The sequence below is a fragment of the Homo sapiens genome, chromosome 6, assembly GCF_000001405.40.
Source record: "Homo sapiens chromosome 6, GRCh38.p14 Primary Assembly".
Classification (NCBI taxonomy): domain Eukaryota; kingdom Metazoa; phylum Chordata; class Mammalia; order Primates; family Hominidae; genus Homo; species Homo sapiens.
In genome coordinates, this window is record NC_000006.12 from 157,043,279 (window position 1) to 157,068,336 (window position 25,058).

Below are 25,058 nucleotides of genomic sequence, written 5' to 3' on the forward strand. Positions count from 1 at the left end.
TGCTGCATTTCAAAATCCTGCTTTCCCTCCAGGCTCCATTCTAACCTCTCTCTTCTATGATTTGTCTCGGCATGGGCGCCTTCTGAGCACCATCCTCAGAGCTCAACAGTTCTCACTGCCTTTAGGACTCATTTGGAATTTCTCATCTGCCAACTTGTTTTGGTGTTCTTTTGTATTTGGGAGACAGCGTGATATGGCCTAGCCCAATTCTATTACGTGGCATTTTCCCCCATAATATGGTAAGCTTAGAGAATCCATTTTTTTCATCTTTTTATATCCATATTGACTTTCACATGGTAAACAGTGCATAAGTACTGATGATTAAGAGTTTTACTGATAGTGTTAACAATTGTCACTGCTAAGAGCATAAAATGTGTGATATTAACATATCACTACTGTGTTCTTCTGTATTCTGGGATTTCCTTGCCGATTCTCCTGTTATCTGGGCTAATATGTGAGCTTGGCATTTCCTATTTAAGCTCTGTAATGCCCACCTTAAGGAAGATATATTCATTGTTAATGTTTGTTGAAGCTATTGAGTGGGTATGGCTGGCATCAAAAACTAGTTGGTTCCTTTTAACCTGGCTTATCTTAAATATGTTCATTAATCAGGTTCTGCAGTTGTATTCATTCATATCACTCTACTTCTTTCCACTGCTTTCCATTCAAACAAATATCTATGGGATATACGTGTTATTTGTCAAGTACCAGGGATGCAGTGGTAAGAATAATAAGTCCTTGCTTCCACGGATCTTACATTCTGGACACAACATTTGGAATGATCTTATGTCAGAGAAAAATCCAAGAAGAGATGCAAAGTTTGGATATAATTGTATGCTTTTCTGTTGTTTAATTGTCTTAATTGAATCTATTTATTGTATTCTACAAAATGGAATGGATTCCAGTTTGACCTAAGGAAATTATAAATAACAAAAGGATTAGTCACCCGTAAATATAATTTCAAATAGAATAAAAGTGGAAAATTTTATTTTATCTTTTTAAAATAAGGTATTTTCAACTGTGGAAAATGTGTAGCCTGAGGATCATATTTGGCAGTGACTTAAATTTGAGCTGCTTTCTGTCTTTTGACATCTGATCATTATGAAAGTATCTGTATTTCACTTCCCTCATATAAAAACAAAATGATGCAGTCGTTAACTATAGGATTTATCATACTGGCTAAGGAGGAAACAGAAAAAAATACAATGGCAACCCATGTCTGAATGGGCCTCCTGGCTCAAGAACCAAATAATGACCTTTGGGAAAAAGCGGGAGGTTCACTTGTAGCTTCCTTTTCTGATCCATCTAACTTAGAGGGCTCCAGTTTGAATTGTGTTAAAAGTCCATTTGTTTTTAGTCATTTCTGACTCTGTATCTTTTGTTACATTTTTCCAGTTTTAATCATTTCTCATTGCTCATTTTGGTTCTGTAGAGCTGTGCTATCCAGTGTGGCAGCCACCAGCCATGTGTGGCTATTTAAAGTATTTAAAGCTAAATCAAATTCAAATATCATTTCTTCAGTTACACTGGCCACATCTCAACAATTACATGTTGCTGGTGGCTGCCACACTGCCACAGTGCATAGAGAGAGGCGTCCATCTTAACAATGAGTTCTGTTGCCTGAGCTGGTCTAGAAAATACAGGTTCCAAGTATGTAGATGACACAGACAGTTTTTAGCATAACAGCCATTTATATAATATATAAATGTTCTAATAACAATTAGAACAGCCATTTTAAAAATTGATTTAAACACTAGGGATTTGAAAAGATAGTAGAAAACAGAAGGAATTTGCTGTTCAGGTAGAGTGCTATAAAGCAGAGGGGATGTTCTGCTTAGGAAAGAAAGATAAACTACTATAAAGTTGACAAGTTTCATTAGATTTTGAGAATAGAAAAGTTTTAAACAGGGTCATGAAATTTGACATCCTTCTAGAGTGACATTTGTGATGGGTCATTAATTCATTGATTTGCCTAAGATATGCCCCAGGCTACCAATATAGTATTTTGGATTTAGAGTGTTTAGTTTTGCATTGTAAGATTCTACCCAATAAAATAGTTATTTCTTTTATGAGTGTAACCACATGAAAACATATACTAATTTTCTGTTTAAAAACATTTACCATATATATTTTTTGTCAAGCTGCATTAACTCTGGTTCTTCTCTACTCTTTGCGTCTTCTTAGCGGGACCTTTTTTTTCTTCTGTGAGACAGAGTCTCTCTCTGTCACCCAGGCTGGAGTGCAGTGGCACCATCTTGGCTCACTGCAAGCTCCACCCTTAGCGGGATGTGTTTTCTAGTGAATTTACTTGGCTAACTCTCTGAGTGAGTGTGACTATAAGTTAGGTGAAAGTATATTTAAGATAACCAATGTCATTGAAACAAAACTAGCAAACAGTTTTTTTGAACTCATAATCTTATGAACTCATATTACTTTTCATAATATGAAAGATTTGTTTTTACATTTTAATCTTTTTTATTTAATTAAAATCTGTTCAAAACCTTTAGAGCAGTAGAGGACCAAGTTTATTCCATACTGTTTCAATATTGACTCAAACTTAAAATTATAGAATATATATTGTTAAAGCAAAAAATTTACTGTTTCCGCTAAAAGAAAGATTCAAGGGGGTGTGGGGAGAGGAATCTGCAGTGTTTCTCTAGGACCTCAAGGATCTCAAGTTCTCCCGGATGTGGGAATCCAGGAATCCATATTGAGCTCTTCTCTTCTTTTGTTAGAAAATTTCCCAGCCTCTGCCTCTGCCATCTGCTGGTAGTTCAGACAGTTACATGTTTGAGTTTAAAACAAATTTGCTTTATTTTTATTTAGAAATGATTTGGGGGAAATACTTTATGTATATTTACCTGTAATATTTTGATACAGTTTTCTTTGTTAGGTTTAATTATCTTTTGAAGGGATATTTTAGCTTTTTTTCCAATTTTGTCTTTAGAGGAATACACAAGTCTAAAACTCAGAAAAGACAAGACTGTGAGGCCAAAACATATGCAGTGAAGAGGCAGGTTAGAGCCCTGTTAATGAAAGGCCTGGAGTGGCTGATGAGGAGTTACTTGAGAGCTGTTAGGGGTCTCACCTGATGTCTGGCTTTGGATTAAATATGGAATAGGATTTTTTTCCTGCCATTTTATAATTAAGACTACTTGACTGGGAGTTGAACAGACCCATATTCTACTGTAAGTCCCATTGTGAGGTTGGAGAATTGATTTCTAGACATCATTAAATTTATTTCCAGCTCTAAAATTCTTCAGGTCCTTAATGCTAACAGGCCTCCTGTATTCATTGGAAGTACAAGTGTTTTACCATTTGTTAGTCTTCCATTTCTTCTTGCTGATGTTTCCTAGACTAAGATATTCTTGTTGTCTTGGGAAAAATAGAATTTTGTTGTTGTATTGTTGTCCACAAACAAATCCTTTCATTAAGTGAAGCCAGGCAAAAATTTTTAAAAGAAAGGTAAAATATAGAAATTTTATTTTCTGCCACCTTTAGTCTTCTTTCCTAATTTCCTTTAGAGCTGCTATGGCCAGTTACTTTTCAGCATTTTTCTCAAAGAGAAAATGTAACCTAAGATTTTTTCAATTTCTTTTTTTCACAATGAAAAAGGCTGAGGGAGGGAAAGTGACTTATTTTAGGCACTGTCTAGTGGTAAAGCTCAGCTAGAAGTTGCTGCTTCCCAGGCCTGTGTACTTTATGAAAAAATTCCAGCAATGCCTGTGTTGTTGTTTTTTTAAATCAGTCCTCTCAAGTTTAGGAACTCTATATTAGGTTACATTTTACAGAATTGGCATTTCGCAGCTCAAAAAATGGTGTAATGTTGGCAATTTCATATGGTTCAACCCAATGTACTAGGACTCTAATATCATTTTAGATCAGCTTTCAATAGTGAAAACGGTATTTTTCTTTAAAAGTAGTTTATTCCAATTGGAATGGGTATGAGCACACTCTGTGAGGTATTAGGTGATCACGAGATGTTTGTGGAGCTTAACTGACATGAGAGTACCCAGTAGGCCAGAAAGCCCAGCAAAGAAGGTGTGACGTTTCCAGAATATGTTTTGGCATTATATGCAAAATCAGAAGTAGTATATTATAATCAGAGGAGTTCTTGGTGTAATAGGAACTCCATTTCTTCTAGACCAAGTATTCTGTCAGATGATGGTAGATGACAGAGTGTTTAGATAGATTCATTGACAGCATCGCGGCTGTCCCAAGATCTACCAAGTCCACTGTGCAGAAATGTTTGCCCTGCCTTAGTGATGGTGAAGATAAGGTGAGTGGAGGGACCATAATTTAGTGTAGTTCATGCCTGCCTTTGTCAGATTCTGTTCATTTTTGTAAAAAGACGTTAGGAATTAAACATGGCCTCACGTGCTATGTGTCTGAAAAGTGGTCTTTTTAAGAGAGCAAGGAGTTATGCTGGAAGCAAGCTTATTTACTTGTATAATTTAGAGTTTGATTGACTCCATGTATCTCTGGGGACATTATTTTGGCACTAGTTTTTGAGGACTTAATTTTCTAGTAATAATAAAAATGCATATATTCTCTTATCCCCACCCTCAAACACCTGTTCATTTGGGACATGCACATGTAATTAGAGGCGTGTTTCAGGACTTGCCTGTAAAATTCCTTTGCATGCAGTTACTGTGATCATATTAGTAATCATCAAGCTACTTGAGATTTTGTTGGGAAGAAGCAAAGAAAATATCCTAGGGAAGATGGGGGTGATTTTGATTGCGTGTGTTTTAGGTTCTCTGCACTGCCAAGTTTTAAAGCAGATTCTGTTTCTTCAGATGGTGAAAGCCCTCCTCCTTCCCTCCTCCTGCCTTAAATTTGGCTTCTTCCCAAGCCATGTCAATTTTTGCAAGTCAGTTGAGAATGTCAACGTGGCTGGTGTTGAAAGAGCCAATATGTTGGAATATGCTTAAAGCCAAGTAGAACATTTATGTGAATTAAAGAATATATCAGGGATGATTTTTAAAAATCAGATTTGGATTAAGAAACCTGTTGAATTAATACTTGCATAACAGATGTATCACTGATAAATACTTGTAAAAGATATTCCCAAATAAGCAATAAAAGTACCATTTTACAACCGAAGTAATGCATCCTGTGGGTCCATTTGCAAAGATATGCCAACAGAAATGCATGCAGAGCTCTGGAAGTGATAATGCAAATAAAACATTTCACATTATAACTTAAAATAACAAGTTTGGAAGGAATAAAAAGTCTGGGAGACTATTTGTTTTGTCTAAATTCTGCTTTTACTCTGGTCTTTTAACAGTTGGCTTTTGATAATGTATTACTGCCTTAGTGTGTTCCTGTGTATTGAAGGAATACATTGTCTGACAGAATTGTGGTTGAAAATATTACAAGTTCTAAATAATAAGAGTAATAAATATCATATCTTGTTTGCTTTGTTGTCATAGTCGCCTGATCTCATGCTTCCCTGAATTCGGCTGGTGTCTTGATTACGATGGAATCACTAAGCAGAGAGTTTTGCCATGTGTGATTTATTCGTTTGTGCATAGCCACAGCAGAGCATCCATGCAGCCCGCAGTGGCTCTGTGTTCCAGTGTGCCAAGTCACCAAGACTTGCTACCTTAAGGCCAGGCGCAGTGGCTCACGCCTGTAATCCCAGCACTTTGGGAGACTGAGGCGGGCAGATCACTTGAGGTCAGGAGTTCAAGACCAGCCTAGCCAACATGGTAAAGCCCCATCTCTACTAAAAATACAAAAATCAGCCAGGCGTGGTGGTGGGCAGCTGTCATCCCAGCTACTCAGGAGGCTGAGGCACAAGAATCACTTGAACCAGGAGGTGGAGGTTGCAGTGAGCTGAGATCATGCCACTGCACTTCAGCCTGGGTGACAGAGCAAGACTCAGTCTGGAGAAAAAAAAAAAAAAAAAGACTTGCTGCCTTGATTTGCTGCTCACTGTGCCCAGCAAGGCCACTCTGCCATGGCCGATTCTAGACCGTGGCCAAGGTGGGATGAAGCCTTCTCTCTCTCTGGCCAGAGTGCTCCTCAAGTGTGACCTTCCTTTGGTAGCTGGGCAGTTTTCTCCTTGCAGTAGGTGTGGCCTTAGATGGCCATGTGAAAAGGAGGGGTCAGTGTGAGGAACTGGAGAGAAGTACGGGGAGGGACAGGACTGGCCCTTGAAATCGGCGTAGAGGAAGTTAAGTCCTACAGGAGATTTCTTTTTTTTCCCCTAGCTACACATGGCAGTTTAAAGCATTTAATTGGCTGTTTCTTAAGAAGCCATGTACATTTTTATAAGAAATGTCTCTTAACCTCCCTTCACTCTTCCACAAATTAAGTTTTCCTTTCAGAATAAATTTTTTTGTATCTCATTGAGGAAGAGGGGAGGTGAAGAACAGAGCAGCAAATGAATACATATTATTTATAATGAGAATTGGATATAGGCTTATCTTATCCATTAAATATCACGGTAAAATCAATAAAATTTTAAGAAGTATTCTAAAATTAATTTCAAACAAATTTTCGAAACATTTCTAGAATTTTCTTTTTAAATCTTCACATTACATATTAAAGCTTCTCACATTGTATTCCTATTTTTGTCTCATTTAAGTTTTAATCTCCTCATAAAAGGATAAGTGTCTTTTCTTCAGTCATCTTAATGTGTTAACCTGCACTTCATATCATCATGATTTTAAAACATGCATTGAATGCTGCTACAGTCCAAGAATAACAACGCCTGTGGCCTCCAAGGAGTAAGGGACCCCTGGAACATCAGCACCAGCAAAAGGAAGAGAGACACTCTCAGTTGTGGGGTGTCTCTCCCTGACTCAGCCCCCACCTCACTGAGGGTCTTCCATCCCCACAGTTTCCATCTCAGATGCCCAGAAGAATGGGAGGGGCCAAAGGAGCTCCACTTTGTATATCATCAATGAAACCCCCTGTACCCAGTCCCCCAACAAGGAAGAACAACAGATAACTCAATTTAAAAAATGTTACTTGTGGCTGGGCATGGTGGCTCACTCCTAGAATCCCAGCACTTTGGGAGGCCGAGGCGGGTGGGTCATGAGGTCAGGAGTTTGAGACCAGCCTAATCAACATGGTGAAACCCCGTCTCTACTAAAAATACAAAAATTAGCCAGGCGTGGTGGTGCGTGACTGTAATCGCAGCTACTCAGGAGGCTGAGGCAGGAGAATTGCTTGAACCCAGGAGGCGGGGGTTGCAGTGAGCGGAGATCACACCACTGCACTCCAGCCTGGGCGACAGAGCGAGAATCTTATCTCAAAAATAAAAAAGTTACTTGTGATAAATGAATAATTTGGGAAGAAGAAATCCTGAGTTTTATGATGCAGAAGGTATTTCTTTATCATGTAGACACTTAGAGGGCTTCAATTTTGGTAGTAAATAACCTTCATTAAAAAAGTTAATTTTTTTGTTTTACCTTCATATGAGCCCTGTAATAGTACTTCTAATGACATCATACTCATAAAATGACTTTTTTGTTTCCTGATCAACAGTGGAAAGGTTTATGATGTGCTATGTAATAGTATGTGCAAACATCGCAGGCACAATATTAATAGATGCACATATATGTGTGTTACACATTAAATATTTCCCATTCACACATGTATGCATTCTTTCCTTTTACATAGGAGGCCTAGAGAAGTTGACCTCCCTAAAGGATAAGTTCTAAAAGGCAGGAAATGGAGATCTGCCAGGCTTGTTGGCTAGAGTCATGGACAAGAGCAAGGCCTGTCTGAACTGCCACTCAGTTTTTATTCTGCGCATTTGCAGGGCTGGTGATTAGAGTGGCTTTCGCCCAATTATGCTGTGATTATTCTGCTGCACTGTAATTGACTGGGGAGATATGCTAATACCTGTCATTTGGGATGATAAAAGATGAGCGGGGGACGCAATGCATTATTTAGCTGGCTGTGTGATAGATGAGGGATGCGCAGAGTGCTTTAATTGCTGAGAAGAGAGGTTAAGCTGAACGAACGGATGAATTAGAAATGAGTTTTTTTATGGCTTGTGGAAAAGTGAAATAAAGGAAAATGTGCCTTAAACTAAAACAGCAGATAGAAATGAGCACAACGAAACTAGATCTTCCAGGCAGCTCCCTTTATCCATTTAAATGCTAACGGAAAATGCAGTTTGGAATTCAGTAAATAATAATTGGAATAAGAATTTACAATGGATTCTCTTATTAAGCAAAAAAAAAATGTTAAAGGAATCGTTTTTATTTTAGATGACTATTTGTAATCTGTAACCTCTTAAATTCACTCTGTACTTTAGGTTATACTGAAATGTAATATGCAACAATTCTGAATTTTATAGTTTGTATCTTTTGAATGTTTGAATGCTAGACTTCTTGTGCCTGTGTATCTTTCAATAAATGCAGGCAGAGGAAAGAAAAAAAATGAATATTTATAATACCAGGAGAATGTAAAAATATAATTAGAGAGTGTACAGATGATTCTTGAGTAACAGGATCTGAGGCAGTTGGTACAGTCCTCGTGCACCACACTCTTAGGTATTGATATTTTTATGCAAAAATAATTATGGAGAGTGGTATATTTCTTTTCATGTTGTTTCTTTTGTCACATGATATATTACTTTGTAACCATATTTCATAAAAGTATTTAAAATTCTCTTGTTATCTGTATGGTTATTTATATGATTAGATGTATTTTGCTTTATTTTAGTTTTGTCAATTTAATTAATAGGTAATTATTTTGAAAATGCCACCAGAACAGCAGTTTGCAGAAAAAGACTGTTAAAAACTGAAGGCTGAGGCCTTCTATATATTGTGGGCTTCCAGGTACGTCGTATTTTACCAAGTAATGACGTAGGAAAATGTCTCCAATTGTGCTATTTTGTCTTGTAGGTGAAGCAATGAAAATAAAGGTTGGATAACAGAGGTTATTTATATATATATGTAGTAAAATGAAGAAACTGATCCTCGTATATTGTTGAATTATCTCTAGACAGTCAAGCTTCTCAGCCTGTGTGACTTATCTCATATAGAAGAATTGATCAGGGAATAGCTTTCAACTAGGGTATTGAATGGTAATAGATCCGTGTGGAACCAAGTCGGCCTGTTGGACTGGATGTCAACTGTAGACAGATGCCACTCTCTGCTACTCAAATAAGTTTTGTTGGGGCTGATTACTTTCCCCCAATATAATTGGCACCTTTATTTGCACATTCCTTGTGAAACAAAGTGAAGTTTCCTATGGATATTTTCATCAGTGTCCTTGGAATTCCAAAGTGGACTCTTGTAGCTGTGTAACTTAAACAGGCATAATCTGAATGGCTGCTTATACAGAATATCTTGTAAAGCAAAACAGAAGTTGCAAAGGAAAAGATGCACTTTGCCTCAAAGAATTTAAGAAATGGACAAAGATTGGACAAACATAGCAACCTGTACCAAACAACAGCACCTAAGAGCAGTTTTCGTTTGTCTGTCTGTTTTTTGAGATGGAGTCTTGCTTTGTCACCAGGCTGGAGTGCAGTGGCGGAGTCTCGGCTCACTGCAACCTCTGACTCTCTGGTTCAAGCAGTTCTCCTGCCTCGGCCTCCCGAGTAGCTGGGATTACAGGCACATGCCACCATGCCCAACTAATTTTTGTATTTTTAGTAGAGACGGGGTTTCACCATGTTGGCCAGTATTGTCTCGATCTCCTGACCTCGTGATCTGGCCATCTCAGCCTCCCAAAGTGCTGAGATTACAAGCGTGAGCCACCACACCCAGCGCTAAGAGCAGTTTTTACCAGCCTGATTTACAACAGTGCAAAATATCATGAAGAATTATTTTATTGATTGATTGATTGATTGATTTAGGGACGGAGTCTCACTCTGTAGCCCAAGCTGGAGTGCAGTGGCATGATCTCGGCTCACTGCAACCTCTGCCTCCAGGGCTCCAGCAATTCTCGTGCCTCAGCCTCCCGAGTAGCTGGGATTACAGGCGCCTACCGCTATGCCTGGCTAATTTTTTGTATTTTTAGTAAAGACATGGTTTCACCGTGTTGCCAGGGTGGTCTTGAACTCCTGAGCTCAGGCAATCTGCCCACCTCAGCCTCCCAAAGTTCTGGGATTACAGGTGTGAGCCACCACCCCTGGCCTATCATGCAGAATTTAAGCTAGCTATTCTGAAGATAGCAATAGCCCTTTGGGGGATGTGCTGTCTTGACTGGTTTCTCTTGTCAATAGTATAAACAGAGCAGTATATAAAACTATTAACTTTTCTACATCTTTTTAATACAAGTAGTTTATAATTTCAGCTTCCTACTAGGCAATTATTCAATCCTGCAACTTTATTCCTGAATTTTGGCTATAATTATTATCACTTGAATGTAGAAATGATTCCCTCTTTAAGGACCTTAGTTTGAGTGGGGTTTGCTTTGTTTTATGAGATTAGGAAAAGAATCATGTCTGTGGCTTTTTGTTGCTTACGTGTATAATATCAAGCCTTTCTATAAGTTTGATTTATTATGATAGCATGAAATTTTTCTTCTATGAAAGTGGATGAGCTGGGCACTGTGGTTCACGCCTGTAATCCCAGCACTTTGGGAGGCCGAGGCAGGTGGATCACCTGAGGTCAGGAGTTCAAGACCAGCCTGGCCAACATGGTGAAACCCCGTCTCTACTAAAATACAAAAAAATAAAAATAAAAACATTAGGCCGGGCACAGGGGCTCATGCCTGTAATCCCAGCACTTTGGGAGGCTGAGATGGGTGGATCACCTGAGGTCGGGAGTTCGAGACCAGCCTGACCAACATGGAGAAACCCCGTCTCTACTAAAAATACAAAATTAGCCAGGCCTGGTGGTGCGTGCCTGTAATCCCAGCTATTCGGAAGGCTGAGGCAGAAGAATCGCTTGAACCCGGGAGGCGGAGGTTGCAGTGAGCCAAGATTGTGCCATTGCACTCCAGCCTGGGCCACAGAGCAAGACTCTGTCTCAAAAAAAAGAAGGTGGATGGCCAGGAGCTGTGTGATTCTTTGCCTTAGATTAGGTTTTTCCCCTTGGAAATGCTGTGTCTTAAAACTGAGATTTGTAACACAAGGCAGCATCAAACTATCTTCAATTTCCTTAGCATCTTTTAATGTTCTTACTGCCCAATTAAATATTTGGTTTTTAAAATGGTAGTGAGTTATAGTTTTTTGAAATAATGTGTTTGTATTATTTTATAATAAACATGTAAATCTGGTGATAGGATTCAGAGCTACAAGGGACATGAGAAATTATGTAATCTATTGCCCCTGTGTTATAAAAGTAGGAAGTGAGGCTCATGGAAGGACTAGTAACCACCTAGACCTCACATCTCCTCACTTCCTATCTGGGGCTTTTTGTTCTATGTCTGAGGAAGTGGTTCTTACCTAAAGAGCAAGGTTTGTGGAAATAGTTGTTCACATTGAGCTGTGAAAGGCAAAAGAACCACAGCCTAGGCCTACTTACTAGATGTCACTGTTACAGGGGTGATTGTCAGATTGGTTAAAGCAGAAATCTTTGAAAATGATGCAATCATTATACATTTTATTTTAGCATAAAACACATAAATGTCTATTCACGTGTACCTCCCTCCTGTCCATGGTTCACCGCTGTCTCAGCCGTACCTCATTCTGCAGCAGCGTTTCACTAGCTCACTCATCCCCAGTGGTGGGTCTCTTTTCACATGGATACATCACCTGGTTCCATTTTCCATTCAGTTTAGAACTGGAGTAACTTGTAGCATAAACCTGCAGAGGAGGGAACAGAACTCACCACTGGGAAGCATCCTCCTCAGCTGGCATCAGCCGGGAAGTAGGGGGGCTTTCCAGAGAGGAGCCACCTCACCACTGAAGCCAGCAGATACCTCAGGTGGAGCTTAGTGCCTGCTGTGTGGATAAGGGGACCATTTGCATTGGTTTCCCTTTGGAAATGATGAGTGATTATCTTTCCTTCTACTTCAAGCCAGATCTCCAATAATATGCTGCTATAGAAAAGATACAGATCATTAATTGGTTAACTAGACAATAATCATTAGTTTACCCATCTTATTTTTATGCCTTTGATTTTCCTTTCCAGTAACATAATCTTTTTTTGTTTCTGTCTTTGTCGTTTAAATTCACCCGTAGAACTTGTACAAAGTACTCTTTAGAAGTAGCTGCTCAAAATTTTTGCTTTAAAAAGAAAACACCCAAATATCACCTTAAATTTCAAACCTTTACTGCTCACTGTAGTAACTGCTCTCTAGTCCTTAAATTTGATTATAATATTCTTGATAACAATAGAAAGCTAACTTTAACAAAAAGGAAAATTTGAAAATTCTTACAGATCTCCTCTGGTGAGATTTGAAAGGTAAGTGAGGTTTCAAATGTATTAATTTTCTGTTGCTGAGTAACACATTACCCCCAAATTCAGCAGTTTAAAACTATTCTTCCTGAGTATCTCACAATTTCTGTAGCCAAGAGTCCAATAACTGGGTCCTCTACTCAGGATCTCGTGAAGTTGAGATAAGGTATTGTCAGGGCTGTGGTCTCATCTGAGGTTTAGGGTTCTCTTCCAAGCTCACCCGTTGGCAGAATTTACTTCCCTGTGGCTGGAGTTCTAAGGTTCCCACCATCATGCCGCATGCTAACCCAGCACCCTTCTCAGTTTCTGGAGGTGACCTGCAGTTCCGTGCCTGTCTCCACAACATGGCAGCAGGCAGGAGATTTGCATTCAATCTCTCCCACCTCTTTTAAGGGATCACCTCTTTAGGTCAGACCCACCCAGGAATATCTCCTTTTATTAACACCAAAGTCAACTGATTAGGGACCTTAATTACATCTGCAAAATCCCTTCTACCCTATAAAGTGACATAATTGCAGAAGTGTTACCTGTCATCTCCACACCGCCCCCACCTCATACTTAGGGTCAGGCATTATGTAGGGTCTGTATACCAGGGGCTGGGAGTTTTAGGAACCATCTTAAAAATCTGCCTCCCACAGCTACTGATTTCACATTTGCCCTCAGATTTTAGAGATACAAAGGTCTTTTTTTTACATGTACTCAAAATGTCCTTAACTTGAATTTTTCTAAAATGCAGCTTTGGAAAAATGAGAGTGGGATATTATGGAACATATTTGACTGACAACATTGAAAAGAAATGATAAGCATCTTTAACAGAGCTATCCATCATAGCAGCAGTTTTATTGTTAGCTTCTGAACCTTTGCCATAGAGTGAGATAAGTAATTTCTTACTACAGGCTCTTACTGTGCAGTTGATGCACTTCTGGGGTGGGTGGAGGATGTGCTGCGTTTCTGTTTTCAGTGCTGCTGTTGAAGGTTTTTATGATCTCAGTTTCTCCTTCCAGTAGTTATGTTTGGTTATGATCTCATGAATCTTCATAGGCATGCAAATAATAGAAAAAGAAGGCCCTGCTGTGTCTGGTTAGTTTGATAGACTTGAAATGCTCAGAAAAAATTTTTGTCTAAACAATATTTTAAACATTTTGATGTTTAGTTTTGACTAATCATTTTTGGAGCATATAAGGAGAAACTTAGGCAATTGAATTTTGTTTAATTTTTTTTTTTGTTAAAAACTTTTCTTAAAAAGCTTTTTTTAACTTTTTTTGTTAAAACTTTTCTTCTTTTTTTGTTAAAACTTTTCTTCTTTTTTTTAAATAAGTTTAAGTTCAGGGGTACATGTGCAGGTTTGTTGTGTAGGTAAGCATGCGTCATGGGAGTTGTGCAGGTTATTTTATTACCCCAGTTGTTTGAATTTTTTTTTTTTTTAAGACGGAGTCTCACTCTGTTGCTCAGGCTGGAGTGCAGTGGCGTGGCTCACTGAAAGCTCCGCCTCCTGGGTTCACGCCATTCTCCTGTCTCAGCCTCCCGAGTAGCTGGGACTACAGGTGCGTGCCACCATGCCTGGCTCATTTTTTCTATTTTTATTAGAGATGGGTTTTCACTGTGTTAGCCAGGATGGTCTCAATCTCCTGACGTCATGATCCACCAGCCTCAGCCTCCCAAAGTGTTGGGATTACAGGCGTGAGCCACCACGTGTCCTAACTTTTAAATAATTATATATTTTTCTCTCAATTCTGTGAATCAAATATAATACAACATATTTTAAAAATCCAAACTATCCTTTATCTTTTAAAAAAATCAATCTTTTCAATTATGTTTGCAGGTATATATGTATATACACACATCTATAACTGTATAGATGAGATAGATAGTTATGTAAGATGAGGTTTCACTATGTTGTGCAGCCTGGCTTTGAACTCCTAGGCCCAAACGATCCTCCCACCTCAGCCTCCCAAGTAGCTGGGATTGCAAGTGTGAGCCACCATGCTTGGCACGTTATTTTGAATTTATCTTTGCTAACACTGATTCCTTTCAGAATTACTTTAGAGAAAAATAATATATTTTAAATAGGATTTGTATGCACTTGATTTCAGTCCTTTAGGTGGGGGAATTCCATAGAGCCGAAAATTTAAAAACGTATATAAAGCAAGTCTCATTATTTTTGAAAATGTGTCAAAATTTTAAAATAGCCATAAATATTTCCTGTGCTTGATTCTAGAATCAAACAAAAGTTTAGGAGGATTAATTTCAGATAGGGTTGATGATACCAACAGCATACTCTATGAGTACATTGAGTGGTTTTCTGATATTCCAGAGGAATTACTAATGTTGACATGAAAATTACTAGTTAATTTTCTTTCTTTTGCAGAATTTTTTGAGTTTTGATGAGTATTTTATGGATGCACCCGTTTTTGGGAACTCATGTGACTACAAGATGAACTGTAGTACTTAAGGAAAGCAGTGGCATAGTAAGGCAAGACAGACACCCAACTTCCATGCACACCGAAGTCATTGTCCTGTCTGATCCTGTGGTGGCTTGTCTGCTACCACCCTCACTTCACCTCCAGTAGGGCCACGAAGTTCAGATATGCCCAGATGACCAGCTGAACGCCATCAGGCTTTTCTCTAAATTATTATCAGCAACTGTTTCTCAAACTACTTTATCTTGGTCTTTTTTTTTTTTTTTTGAGACGAAGTCTCACTCTGTTGCCCAAGCTGGAGTGCAGTGGTAGGATCTTGGCTCACTGCAGCCTCCACCTCCCGGGTTCAAGCGATTCTCCTGCCTCAGCCTCCTGAGTGGCCGGGACCACAGGTACACACCACCATGCTGGGCTAATTTTTGTATTTTTAATAGAGACAGGGTTTCACCATATTGGCCAGACTGGTCTTGAACTCCTGACCTGAGGTGATCCACACGCCTCGGCATCCCAAAGTGCTGGGATTACAGGCGTGAGCCACCGCGCCCAGCCCTACTTTATCTTAATCTTTGTGCCAAATTATTTATTTCCTGCAACTGTGATGTCAGTCACCCTCTTTAATATGGCCTGATGTTCACAGAAGCAAGCCATGTGATCCGCGGGAGGCAGCTTGAGGCTCACAGCGTCTTCCTGCCTCACTCACCCGTGCTGGGTGCTGAGGACACTAGCGGTGGCAGACGTGGTTCTGGCCCTCATCATTTGCAATGCAGTTGGAGAGATGGGGCTGGGTAGCACCTGACCAGCGATATGTGGTTAATAAGACATAGAAGAGGGAAAATACCACGTGGTCTGGGGTGATCAGGCATTGAAGGAGATTTGACTTAGCTCTTTGCAGAGGAGGGTAGCCTCACAGACAGGCAGGAATGAATAGGCAGATCTAGCTGGGGCTGCGGATTTTGGTAGGAAAGATTTGGAGGCCCCAAAACACCTTGCCTAGATGTTTCAATGAGATGAGTTATAGCCAAAGGTACTTCAGCTTGGAAATTGTGTTTTTGTTTTTTTTTTTTGATAAAAATATATTCATTTATCGACAGTGTGTGGTATCTGTTGGCATGAGAAAAGATTTAAGAGACGATATATTGATTAGTTGTGTATCTTTAGAATCAAATGAGAAAATGTGAAAGTGCTTGGAAAATAGTAAATTGATGTATAAATGAAAGTTTTACATTATCATGTGTAACAGTTTGTTATATAATAGAGTTGTGTGATGTCAGGAATAAAAGAAGCTGGTGAAATTACTCCATTCGCTAGAAAATGGTTTACAGAATCAGCTAAGCCCTTGCTTTTTAGAGAGATAAAGTTACTTATCGTGTTTTCCTTTCTTACCTGAAATCTTCATTACATAGTGAATTGTTTGTAAATATTTGATAGTATACTGCAGAATATGAGGTTAAAAGAGTCTGATTCATGTAATGGAAATTAATCTATTGGTAAGTCAAATAAATGTTTATTCTTATATTTTACCAAAAGGTTTCTGAGATTAGAGTATTGACAAAGAGGTTCTGAGACTAGTTTACTCAACATTTATTAATTGTTTTCAGTGGGCCAGGCCCTGTGGAAAGCTCTGGGGTTAAACAATGATTAGCAAGATACAAGTGACCCTAAATTTCCTTAGCACGCCCCTTCTACTGCCTGGGAGACCTGGTGGGCTCTAAAGCTCCTGCCTGGCCTGGGAAACATTTTGTGAGGGAGAGAGAGCAAGCTTTCCTGAATATGAGTGATTATGCTTTTGTCTGTGCATTTCAGAATTTACAAAATGCTTTCTAGGAGTTTAAATGAGATAGAATGCATTTTGTTTTAGAACAAGGAGGGGAAAAATTTATTTCACTGCTTGTTGCTTAATCAGCATCTACGCTGCCACTTCACATCAGCTTCTGTCCTTTCCAAGTGAATTAGTTCTTGTGGGCAGCGTGTCAAGAGGAAGTGTATTGTTCCTGGCAGGGCACTTGAATTTCTAATTACCAGATTCCTGACTTAATTGCAATTACCTGGACACCGAGGCAGGGTGAACTTTTGGAAAAGAATGTAATTAGTGAAACAGGAACTTTACTGCCAACTCCCTGTCTAGATACCAGTACTAAAGAGACCGCTGATAAGTCCACATCTGGGAAAACAATCCATCAGTCGATAAAAACAGTTCTTAAGGTAAATTATATAGCATAGCGCCTCTCAGCTCTGAATTCAGAAACCAATACGATGGTAAAGCAGAGAGTGTTCAATTTTTACATTGTAATAGGGTATAGTAGACATGTGCGCAACTTTTTAAGATTAATTATCTGGAACAAAAATAATTATTAATAATTATTTGCAAAGTAGTCTCTGTTTGTATGCAAACACGAACATTACATACTTTGATTAATAAATGTAAAATCCCAAGGTCTAGTGCCATAGAAGAATAAATAATTTTCCAATATCACTTGTTTCACTAGTAGTTTTTCTTAAATAATACTTTTCAATAACAACAATTTCACACACAACCACAAAGTTTCAATCTGGTTAACATATAGATTTAAACTTATTTTGAAAGCATTTTAATATATGTGAAGCAAAATCTGAACTTTTTTTTTTTTTTTTTTTTTTTTTTACTATTCTTTCATTGTCTCATCACATTCAAGAGCCCGACCATGCTGTCTTGGCACAGATTCACAATCCTGAGATGGTAATAAATATCTGCTGATGGTTTACTTTACACATTTTTGATTCAGTCCTTAACCCCCTGCTATTTTTTCCTTCTCAGCTTCTCTGAGCTGTCCTTCCTTTCCATCTCAACAAATTCCTTGTCCACACCAAGGTTAATTTTGCCCCATCTGTGGTTAGTTAACTCACAAATGATCTTTTACAGCTTCTTCCCCCTGGAGCTGCTGGTGTTTTTTATTTTCAGCCTTTAAAAAAATGTTACAGAGTGGAGTGCTCTGCCCACTCCCCACCCCACAACCTGCTGTGGCACCTCTGGATGGGCAGAGGGTCTTGTGTGGTCTGTCTCACCTCCTGTGGACTCGTGACTCAGGCTGTCCCCTCAACTGATCAACCAAGACAATCTTTTTTTCCTGTCAAAGTTTAATTCCTTCTAATTCTTTAATTGTAATATATCCTATTTGTGTCTTTCTTATACATTTTATCATATATTTATTTTTACTGCATTAAATTGAGAGCCTGGCTGCATTTGAATTTACATTTGTTAGCTGTTTGCATAATGGCAATTATAATAGTAAAATTTTAAATGGGAGCAATAATAGTAAATATCTCAAAGCGGTGAAGATAGAGTTACATTACTTATCTGCAGCACTTAGAATGGTACGGAGCACATGGAAGTGCTCCACATGTCAACCCTGCAAGGTATGGCAGGTGATGTCCCATTTCATAGAGAATGGAACAGAAGAACCAAGAGGTGAGGTCACCTGCTTGACATCTCGCAGTTGTGGGGAGGAGTTCGGGCAGTGGGCGTGGGTATTTTAACTCCTGGTTATTATTGCCTTTACCATCTCAGGGTTGTCAGATTTAGAAAAAAAAAAAAAGATTGCCCAGTTATAGTTGAATTTCACATAAGCAATGAATAAAATTTTAGTATAAGTCCAAATATTACATGGCACATACACTTAAAACTTGTTATTTCTCTGAAATTTAACTGAGTTCCCATATTTTATCTGATAACTCTAATCCATCCAAAGTGCCTACTCTGTGCCATTCCTTAAATAATATACCAGAAATAAAAAAGATAGCTGATTCCACCCTTTGTGTATTTTTTCACAGCATAAAAAAGCCTGTTTTTGTTTTTCAGACAACCCAATTAAGAACAATTAAACTGAAATGTCTGTGCCATGTTTTTTCCAAACGTGCATCGTGTGGTAGGAGGAAAGTATTTTTATGGAAGAGTCACCATGGTAAATTTTTCCAGCAGCTAATAACCACTGAGTTTGCAGTGGGAAAAGCGAGACAGCAAAAATGAAAGGAGCTAAAGACAGCCCATGCGTGCTGTCACTGCTGTCACTTTTTGGAGATAATAAAATGTTTGACAAAGCAGTCATGATAAGCCGAATCTACTTTCCCAAGTACATAGCTACAACATTAGATTCTTTTGCTTTCTCTTGCTATTGTATGTTCCCCTGTTTCTGTTTCTCCTTTTGTTTTGTTGTTTTTTTTTTTTAGAGACAGAGCCTCCCTCTGTCACCCAGGCTGGAGTACAGTGGCGCCATAGCTCACTGCAGCCTCCAACTGCTGGGCTCAAGCAGTCTTCCAGCCTCAGCCTCCCAAGTACTTGGGACCACAGGCACACACCACCATGCCCAGCTAATTTTTTTCATTTTTTGTAGAGACGGGGTCTCACTGCATTGCCCAGGCTGGTCTTGAATTCCTAGCTTCAAGCAATCCTCTCACCTTGGCCTCCCAAAAGTGTTGGGATTACAAGTGTGAGCCACCGAACATGGCTTGTTTCTCCTTTTGTTAATTGCTGTAGACACGAGTTTGATTTTTAAATTTTCCCTTGTATATTCATAGAAGGTATGAGGACAGGGTACCATAAGAAACTGATGACGGTGGTCCGATGAGCACTCGCTACTTGCCTTCCTCCTGTGATGTTTGTTGTTTCATACAAAGTGTCTGTTAATCTGGTATGTTTTAAAATATATATATATATATTTTTTTTTTTTTTGAGATGGAGTTTTGTTTTTGTTGCCCAAGCTGGAATGCAATGACGCGATCTCAGCTCACTGCAACCCCTGCCTCCTGGGTTCAAGCTATTCTCCTGCCTCAGCCTCCCGAGCAGCTGGGATTATAGGTGCGCACCAGCACACCTGCCTAATTTTTTGTATTTTTAGTAGAAATGGGATTTCACCATGTTAGCTAGGCTGGTCTCGGACTCCTGACCTCAGGTGATCCACCCGCCTCAGCCTCCCAAAGTGCTGGGATTACAGCCGTGAGCCACCGTGCCCAGCCTAAAATATATTTTAAAGAAATAAGTTACATTTCAGAATGAGAATGGATGGGTCCTACTGACCATCCTCATCTTGGATTTGAAGAATGTAGAGAATCTTTAATGTGGTGGCTTTTCCCTTTTTTTTTTTCTTTTAAACATTTTTGAATCTTAGATTACTATCAAGTTCCAAGGGAGAGAGGACAGTTTCCAGGACAGGTGAATGAGCCACCAGCCATTTTTTCATGCCAGTGTGAAATGTTGAGTAAGGGAAGAAGGGGTGGCAGCTGGGGGGCTAACATTTACTGAGCAGCAAGCAAATACCAGGTGCTTTGCATTTCTTTTAACACACCACCTTAAGAGGCAGGTGCTCTCATGCCCCTTTGACAAAGGAGGAAACAGCCTCACAGGTTAGGTAGCTGATACTGTGAGGCATGCGGCTAATAAAAAGCCAGTGCCTTTTCCACACCAAGATGCTTATCATTAGGGGCCCTTTCCTCCTCTGTTAGATTTTTTTTTAGATAGTTGTGCTATTACTTGACTTGCCTATAGAATGTGAGTTTAATTCTATTATACCATAAGAATTGAGTGTGGAAGAATAGTATGTTAACTTCTCAGGCACATGTGAGTTACCAACATAAAATGTGTGTAAAATATAAAACTCATACGAAATGTACTTCTAATGAGTCAGACTTCTCAATTTTATTGTTATGTATGGAATGACTGCCAGTGGGTAAACCTGACAATCTAGTCCTTGTACAATATGCAAATGGCTAGTGTGTTATCTGGGAGGGTTTTAGTTTTTCATGACTTATCACAGGGTGACATTCCTTTAGCAAATGTCTTTAAGACCAAGATCTGGTTCTCTGTTTTACAAGGCTCAGAAACCAATGTTACCAGGAGAATACTGAGAGCTAGATGACCCATCTCAGATGAAGACTCATGGACCACACTGGTTGGCACCGCAGTGCTCTACCTGCAGGCTGACCTCTGTAGGGAGAGGCCAGTCTGTGAGGGGGGCATCAGAACATGGGGTGGTTAAATAATTGGAAGGTTTGTGGCATCCGACTAGGCTAGCCGGAAACCTGCATCTCCACAGTAGGAATCCCATTCTGGTTGTGCAGTCATCTCTGATATTCATTGGCCTGGATTCCCTACCCTGTTGTCATCTTTGTCTTGCAGCACCTCTGAGATTTTTCCCTGGCTGATCAGCCCCTCGTTTGACTGATACAGTTTTTCCTGAGCCATCTGAGTATATCTGGTCTGACGATAGGTACTGCCTATTTAGGAGTTGGCCTTGCTCTTTAAGGTAACTTTGCATGTATCTGCTGAACAGGAATACTTGTTTTTCATGAGACTCTAAAGCTCCTTTCTCCAGAACGCATGTTTAGCTATGTGTGTTCGTAATATTAAAGAGCAAAATAAAACACTCAGAGGCTATGCTCAGTTTTTATGATGATACGGAAACATTCTTCTTAGTGTTTCTTCGATGGTTTGAGTGTATTGTTGTTCCCAGTGAACAGTGAAGACTTGATTTGTTTAATTTTTACTCTTCTAATGCTTCTTATTCATGAGCACTTATAACCCAATCCAAAGTCTGTCAAGTGGAGAACGCACAACCCTGGCTTTCTGGATTCGCCGAGAACACTTCCAAATGCACCTTTAGCTGCTGCACCTGACGAGTGTCATGCCCCACTGTCCCCACATCCTCTCCTGACCAGCTGAGTGGATTACACTTTAGAGCTTCGGCCCTGGTGGATCCAGCTTCTAACCCCAGGCTCCGGCCTCTGCCTGATACTGCGTGCACCCCAGCCACAACCTTGGCCTGCCCCCTGCCCTTCAGCCCCGGCTCTCACTTTCTCTCCCTCTTTTTTTGATTACTACTCCCTTTCCTTCCTCTTCAGGACAAATAAGCAGTAGAGGAAGTTACTGTCTTTTGTTGTTTTATTAGGAACTGACTATAATTCTAAAAGACACTCCATTTTCAAGTCCAAATGGCTCAACCCATTCTCTACTGGAGTAGTTTGTTTAACAAAAATTATTATTTGCAAATAGTTATTTTTATAGATATGAAAGTAAGGAAGTAGTGTTTAAGTTAAAAGAGTATTAAAGCAGCATTTTATCATATTTGGGGAAATTCACCTCTCCACGTCCCTATCTAACCCATACATAACTGTGCTAGTCAAAGTCATGAAGAATATAAGTTAAAAGAAGTTCAAAGTAATGAAAACTTGAAGGAAAATCTGAGAGACAAATGAAAAATGCTTTCAAATGTGATACTACTGAAGATAGTAAGGTAAAATTGCCTCTCTTTTTTTAAGCTGAAACTACTTTGGCTCTGGGTATTAACTGGTTCTGTACCATAATCGGGATATATCATTCCATATGTGTATGCCTGTGAATTCGTTAATATAAATGATGATGATATTGTGGTTTATACTTTTATTTTAAATTAAAAAACCGTCTCTAATTGATGAAAGGTGCCTTTATGGTACAGTTACTTTCAAATACATCAAGCACTGCTTGGGTTGACCCTTGACTTCATGGGCATGTTGGTCTTTGACCCAGAACTGGTAAATGAACCCTGCAGGGAAATCATTAGAGAATTGGAACAATTGTGGTAGTGGGATCAGGGGTCAAACCATTACCTACCCATAGAAACTTCCGTTTCAGTTGGACTTCTTGCTTTTCTGAGAGCAGGTCATATTTTCAGGGAGAATACCAAAGAAGAATTTAGCGTACATTAGTGCTGACCTATCAGGAGAAATAAGACCGTAAGGATTTGGATGATGGCTGGTTTATATTCTCTAATGCCATGACAAATGACTATGCTGTCATTGTGTAGAAGTCCATTTTTTAATGTAAGTATTGTGGAGGTGTAACATAAATACAGGGACATGCACAAATTTAAATGTACAACTTGATACATTTTCTCAAAATGAACACACTTGTGTAATCAGTACTTGGTTCAGAAACACCACCAGGACCCCAAAAGCCCTCTTATGCCTCTTTTGAATCATTATCCATCCATCCCCAACCCCTACCACACTGTCTGAATAAAAGTCAGTTAAATTTCCAGTCCCCGATGGTCACTAATGGTAAGCCATTTGTTTAGTCTCCCCACAGAAAACAATCTTATTTCTTCACATGAAAATGTGAGAGGGTTTGTGTGAAGAAAACACAAAACTTATTCAAGGAGTTTCTGTCAATATCAGTTTTTACTGTTTCATATAGTAACTAAAAGAAATTTTAGACAAGATGGATGTCATGGAAGAGAATATTCTTTGCTTTCAAAATCAGTTACTCAAGAGTTACCCTTTAAAAATTACAGAAAGGAAGAAAAGGTGTAGTTCAATTCTTTTCCATTTTGGTTTTACTATTCTTCCTTCTGTAATAACTGTTTTCTGAGGACTGTATATAATCTCAGAATTTTAAATGGTCTCCTGACAATTAAATATAAAATATAATGCACAATTAGTTTTAAAGTATCTTCCATTAAATATATAAATATCTCAATGAAGAAAGTTTTAATTTTAATGACATTTTTGGGCCAAAACACTGTCTTGCTTGTATGATGATATTATAGCCTTTAACGGATAGCTTATGTCTGAGTTCATGGTGGTCTTTTGTTCCAAAGAATAGAATCATTTAGTCCCTTCGTTAGGATACTGGGAGTGGTGTTTTGCCATTTTCTGTTCCAGTGGAAGATCTGGGAGGTAATTATTGCAGTGGGAGAGATTTCATTTTCCATCAAAGCAAAAATAATACTTGTTTTGCTAGGAGAGGAAGGAGATGCACTTGAATTATTAAATGATTTTAATTTCAGAAAAACCGTGAACCTCCTGGAAAACACTGATAGAGTACAGTTTTTTAAAATTTCTTTCTCTGGCTTGTTTTTTTTTCCTTTGGTGTGGGAGTAGAAAGGAGAAAAACATGTATTAGAGGAGTGGACTTTAGAACACTGAAAATGGGCTTTGAAGACAGAGAGCTGGATTGAAATCATGGCCCAACCACCTCACCCTCTGAATCTGTTTCCTGTGTATGAAATGCAGTTGTCTCTACTTACTGAGTGGGCTGTCAGGATAAAAAAAACAAGAAGTGCTATCATTTATTCTCACTGTTTGCCAAGCAGATTCCAAGACTTTCTTCTGTCTCATTATAAACAAAGATTTTAGCAGTATTTGTACTAGTTTGTCAATGAAGAAATTGAGGTCTCAGAGCTAAGTCAAGTGTTTAAGGCTGAATGGCTAGTAACCAGTAGAAGTAAGGAGTGAACCAAGTTCGAGTCACAAAGCCCATGCTCCTAACCACGAAGCTTTGCTCGTTTTTCTGGGAAGTACAGGCCATCTACTGGTGCCAGGCAGGGTCACTGTGACAGTGCATCCAGGGTTAATTTCCTGAGAACAAATGGGGTTTGAAACTGGCCTGGTGCTAAGACAGAGTCTCCCTGCTCCCCTCATTCCTGAGAATGGGGTACAGTTTCCTTCCACAGAGGAACCGTGGTTTTACGGGGCTGCATCTTGCCCATAGGGCCACTTTTTTTTTGCTTCTCGCGAAGGTTCCTCCTGCTCAAATGTGCATGTATAGAGAGTTTCCTATATCATTTAGCTTAGCAGTGATAGGTTAAGATTTTCAATAATATTTATTATTTGCTGGATCTGCCCGACACTTTGTCTGCTTTCCTTGCATTTTTCCGCATGTGTGGTCATTGACCTATTTGTTTATTCACACAGAAAGTATTATAATATGCACTCGTTCTGCGTACTGTGCAGTGCCTGTGTTTTTCTGTCTTCTGCTCTCTTTCCCCATTTTCGTCTTGTCCCTTTTTTCCGCCTTTTCTTCCTGTATCCTGCCATATGTAATTGCAGAGTGTACATGGTCAGCTTCTCCATAGGTGGAGTTAATTCCACAGTCAACAATTCTCAGGAATTTAAATTCAGCTTGTGCCATACCCCATATGTTTAAGACCTAAAACAATCGTAGGTACTTCAGAACTCCTAACTTTATAAAATAAACTATTTATCACTTCATATGGCACCAGGGATCCATTGTAAGTTGAGAACTGTGCTAGATCACAGATGGTTTACTTCATGGACTGTGATTTCACAAAACATTCTGTCTTCACAATTTGGTTCTCTTATCTTTCACTCGTGTGAATTCCATGGGAAATCAGCAGACAGAACAAAAATCCGTTGCCTTATCAATTCGAGCAAAATTATTAGCACTCATGATAAAATACATTTTACTTATTGCTCTTTAAATTCCCTCTGAACTTAATTATGAATTTTTGTGTTGTATTAGAGGTGGGCCTCCTGCACAGGTCAGGTAGGCACATTATGAAGACATTCTCTTCTG

At 39.1% G+C, this 25,058-nt stretch overlaps 1 protein-coding gene across 38 annotated transcripts in view, besides 5 other annotated features; it reads left to right on the plus strand.

The window, feature by feature from the left end:
- ARID1B (AT-rich interaction domain 1B) overlaps positions 1-25,058 on the plus strand; it is a 434,754-nt gene that overhangs the window by 267,253 nt on the left and 142,443 nt on the right. The window contains exon 6 of one of the 38 annotated variants that reach the window (NM_001438490.1): positions 6,596-8,634. The exons of the other annotated variants lie outside the window; for them this stretch is intronic. Within the exon in view, the coding sequence (NP_001425419.1) occupies positions 6,596-6,601 (6 nt within the window). The 3' untranslated portion in view covers positions 6,602-8,634. Of the gene's footprint in view, positions 1-6,595; positions 8,635-25,058 lie in introns of those variants that run through there. 38 annotated transcript variants of the gene reach the window in all.
- Positions 5,189-5,690: an enhancer, noted in NCBI's record as "H3K4me1 hESC enhancer chr6:157369601-157370102 (GRCh37/hg19 assembly coordinates)". NCBI's record gives its function as "activates a minimal SCP1, AML or CMV promoter by ChIP-STARR-seq in naive H9 embryonic stem cells {active_cell/tissue: H9 hESC(naive)}" and the evidence as "EXISTENCE:reporter gene assay evidence [ECO:0000049][PMID:30033119]".
- Positions 5,691-6,191: an enhancer, noted in NCBI's record as "H3K4me1 hESC enhancer chr6:157370103-157370603 (GRCh37/hg19 assembly coordinates)". NCBI's record gives its function as "activates a minimal SCP1, AML or CMV promoter by ChIP-STARR-seq in naive H9 embryonic stem cells {active_cell/tissue: H9 hESC(naive)}" and the evidence as "EXISTENCE:reporter gene assay evidence [ECO:0000049][PMID:30033119]".
- Positions 12,263-12,463: a silencer, noted in NCBI's record as "peak6251 fragment used in MPRA reporter construct". NCBI's record gives its function as "represses an SCP1 promoter by STARR-seq MPRAs in K562 erythroleukemia cells {active_cell/tissue: K562}" and the evidence as "EXISTENCE:reporter gene assay evidence [ECO:0000049][PMID:32103011]".
- Positions 13,123-13,323: a silencer, noted in NCBI's record as "peak6252 fragment used in MPRA reporter construct". NCBI's record gives its function as "represses an SCP1 promoter by STARR-seq MPRAs in K562 erythroleukemia cells {active_cell/tissue: K562}" and the evidence as "EXISTENCE:reporter gene assay evidence [ECO:0000049][PMID:32103011]".
- Positions 13,390-13,439: an enhancer, noted in NCBI's record as "active region_25326". NCBI's record gives its function as "activates an Ori minimal core promoter by ATAC-STARR-seq in GM12878 lymphoblastoid cells {active_cell/tissue: GM12878}" and the evidence as "EXISTENCE:reporter gene assay evidence [ECO:0000049][PMID:35858748]".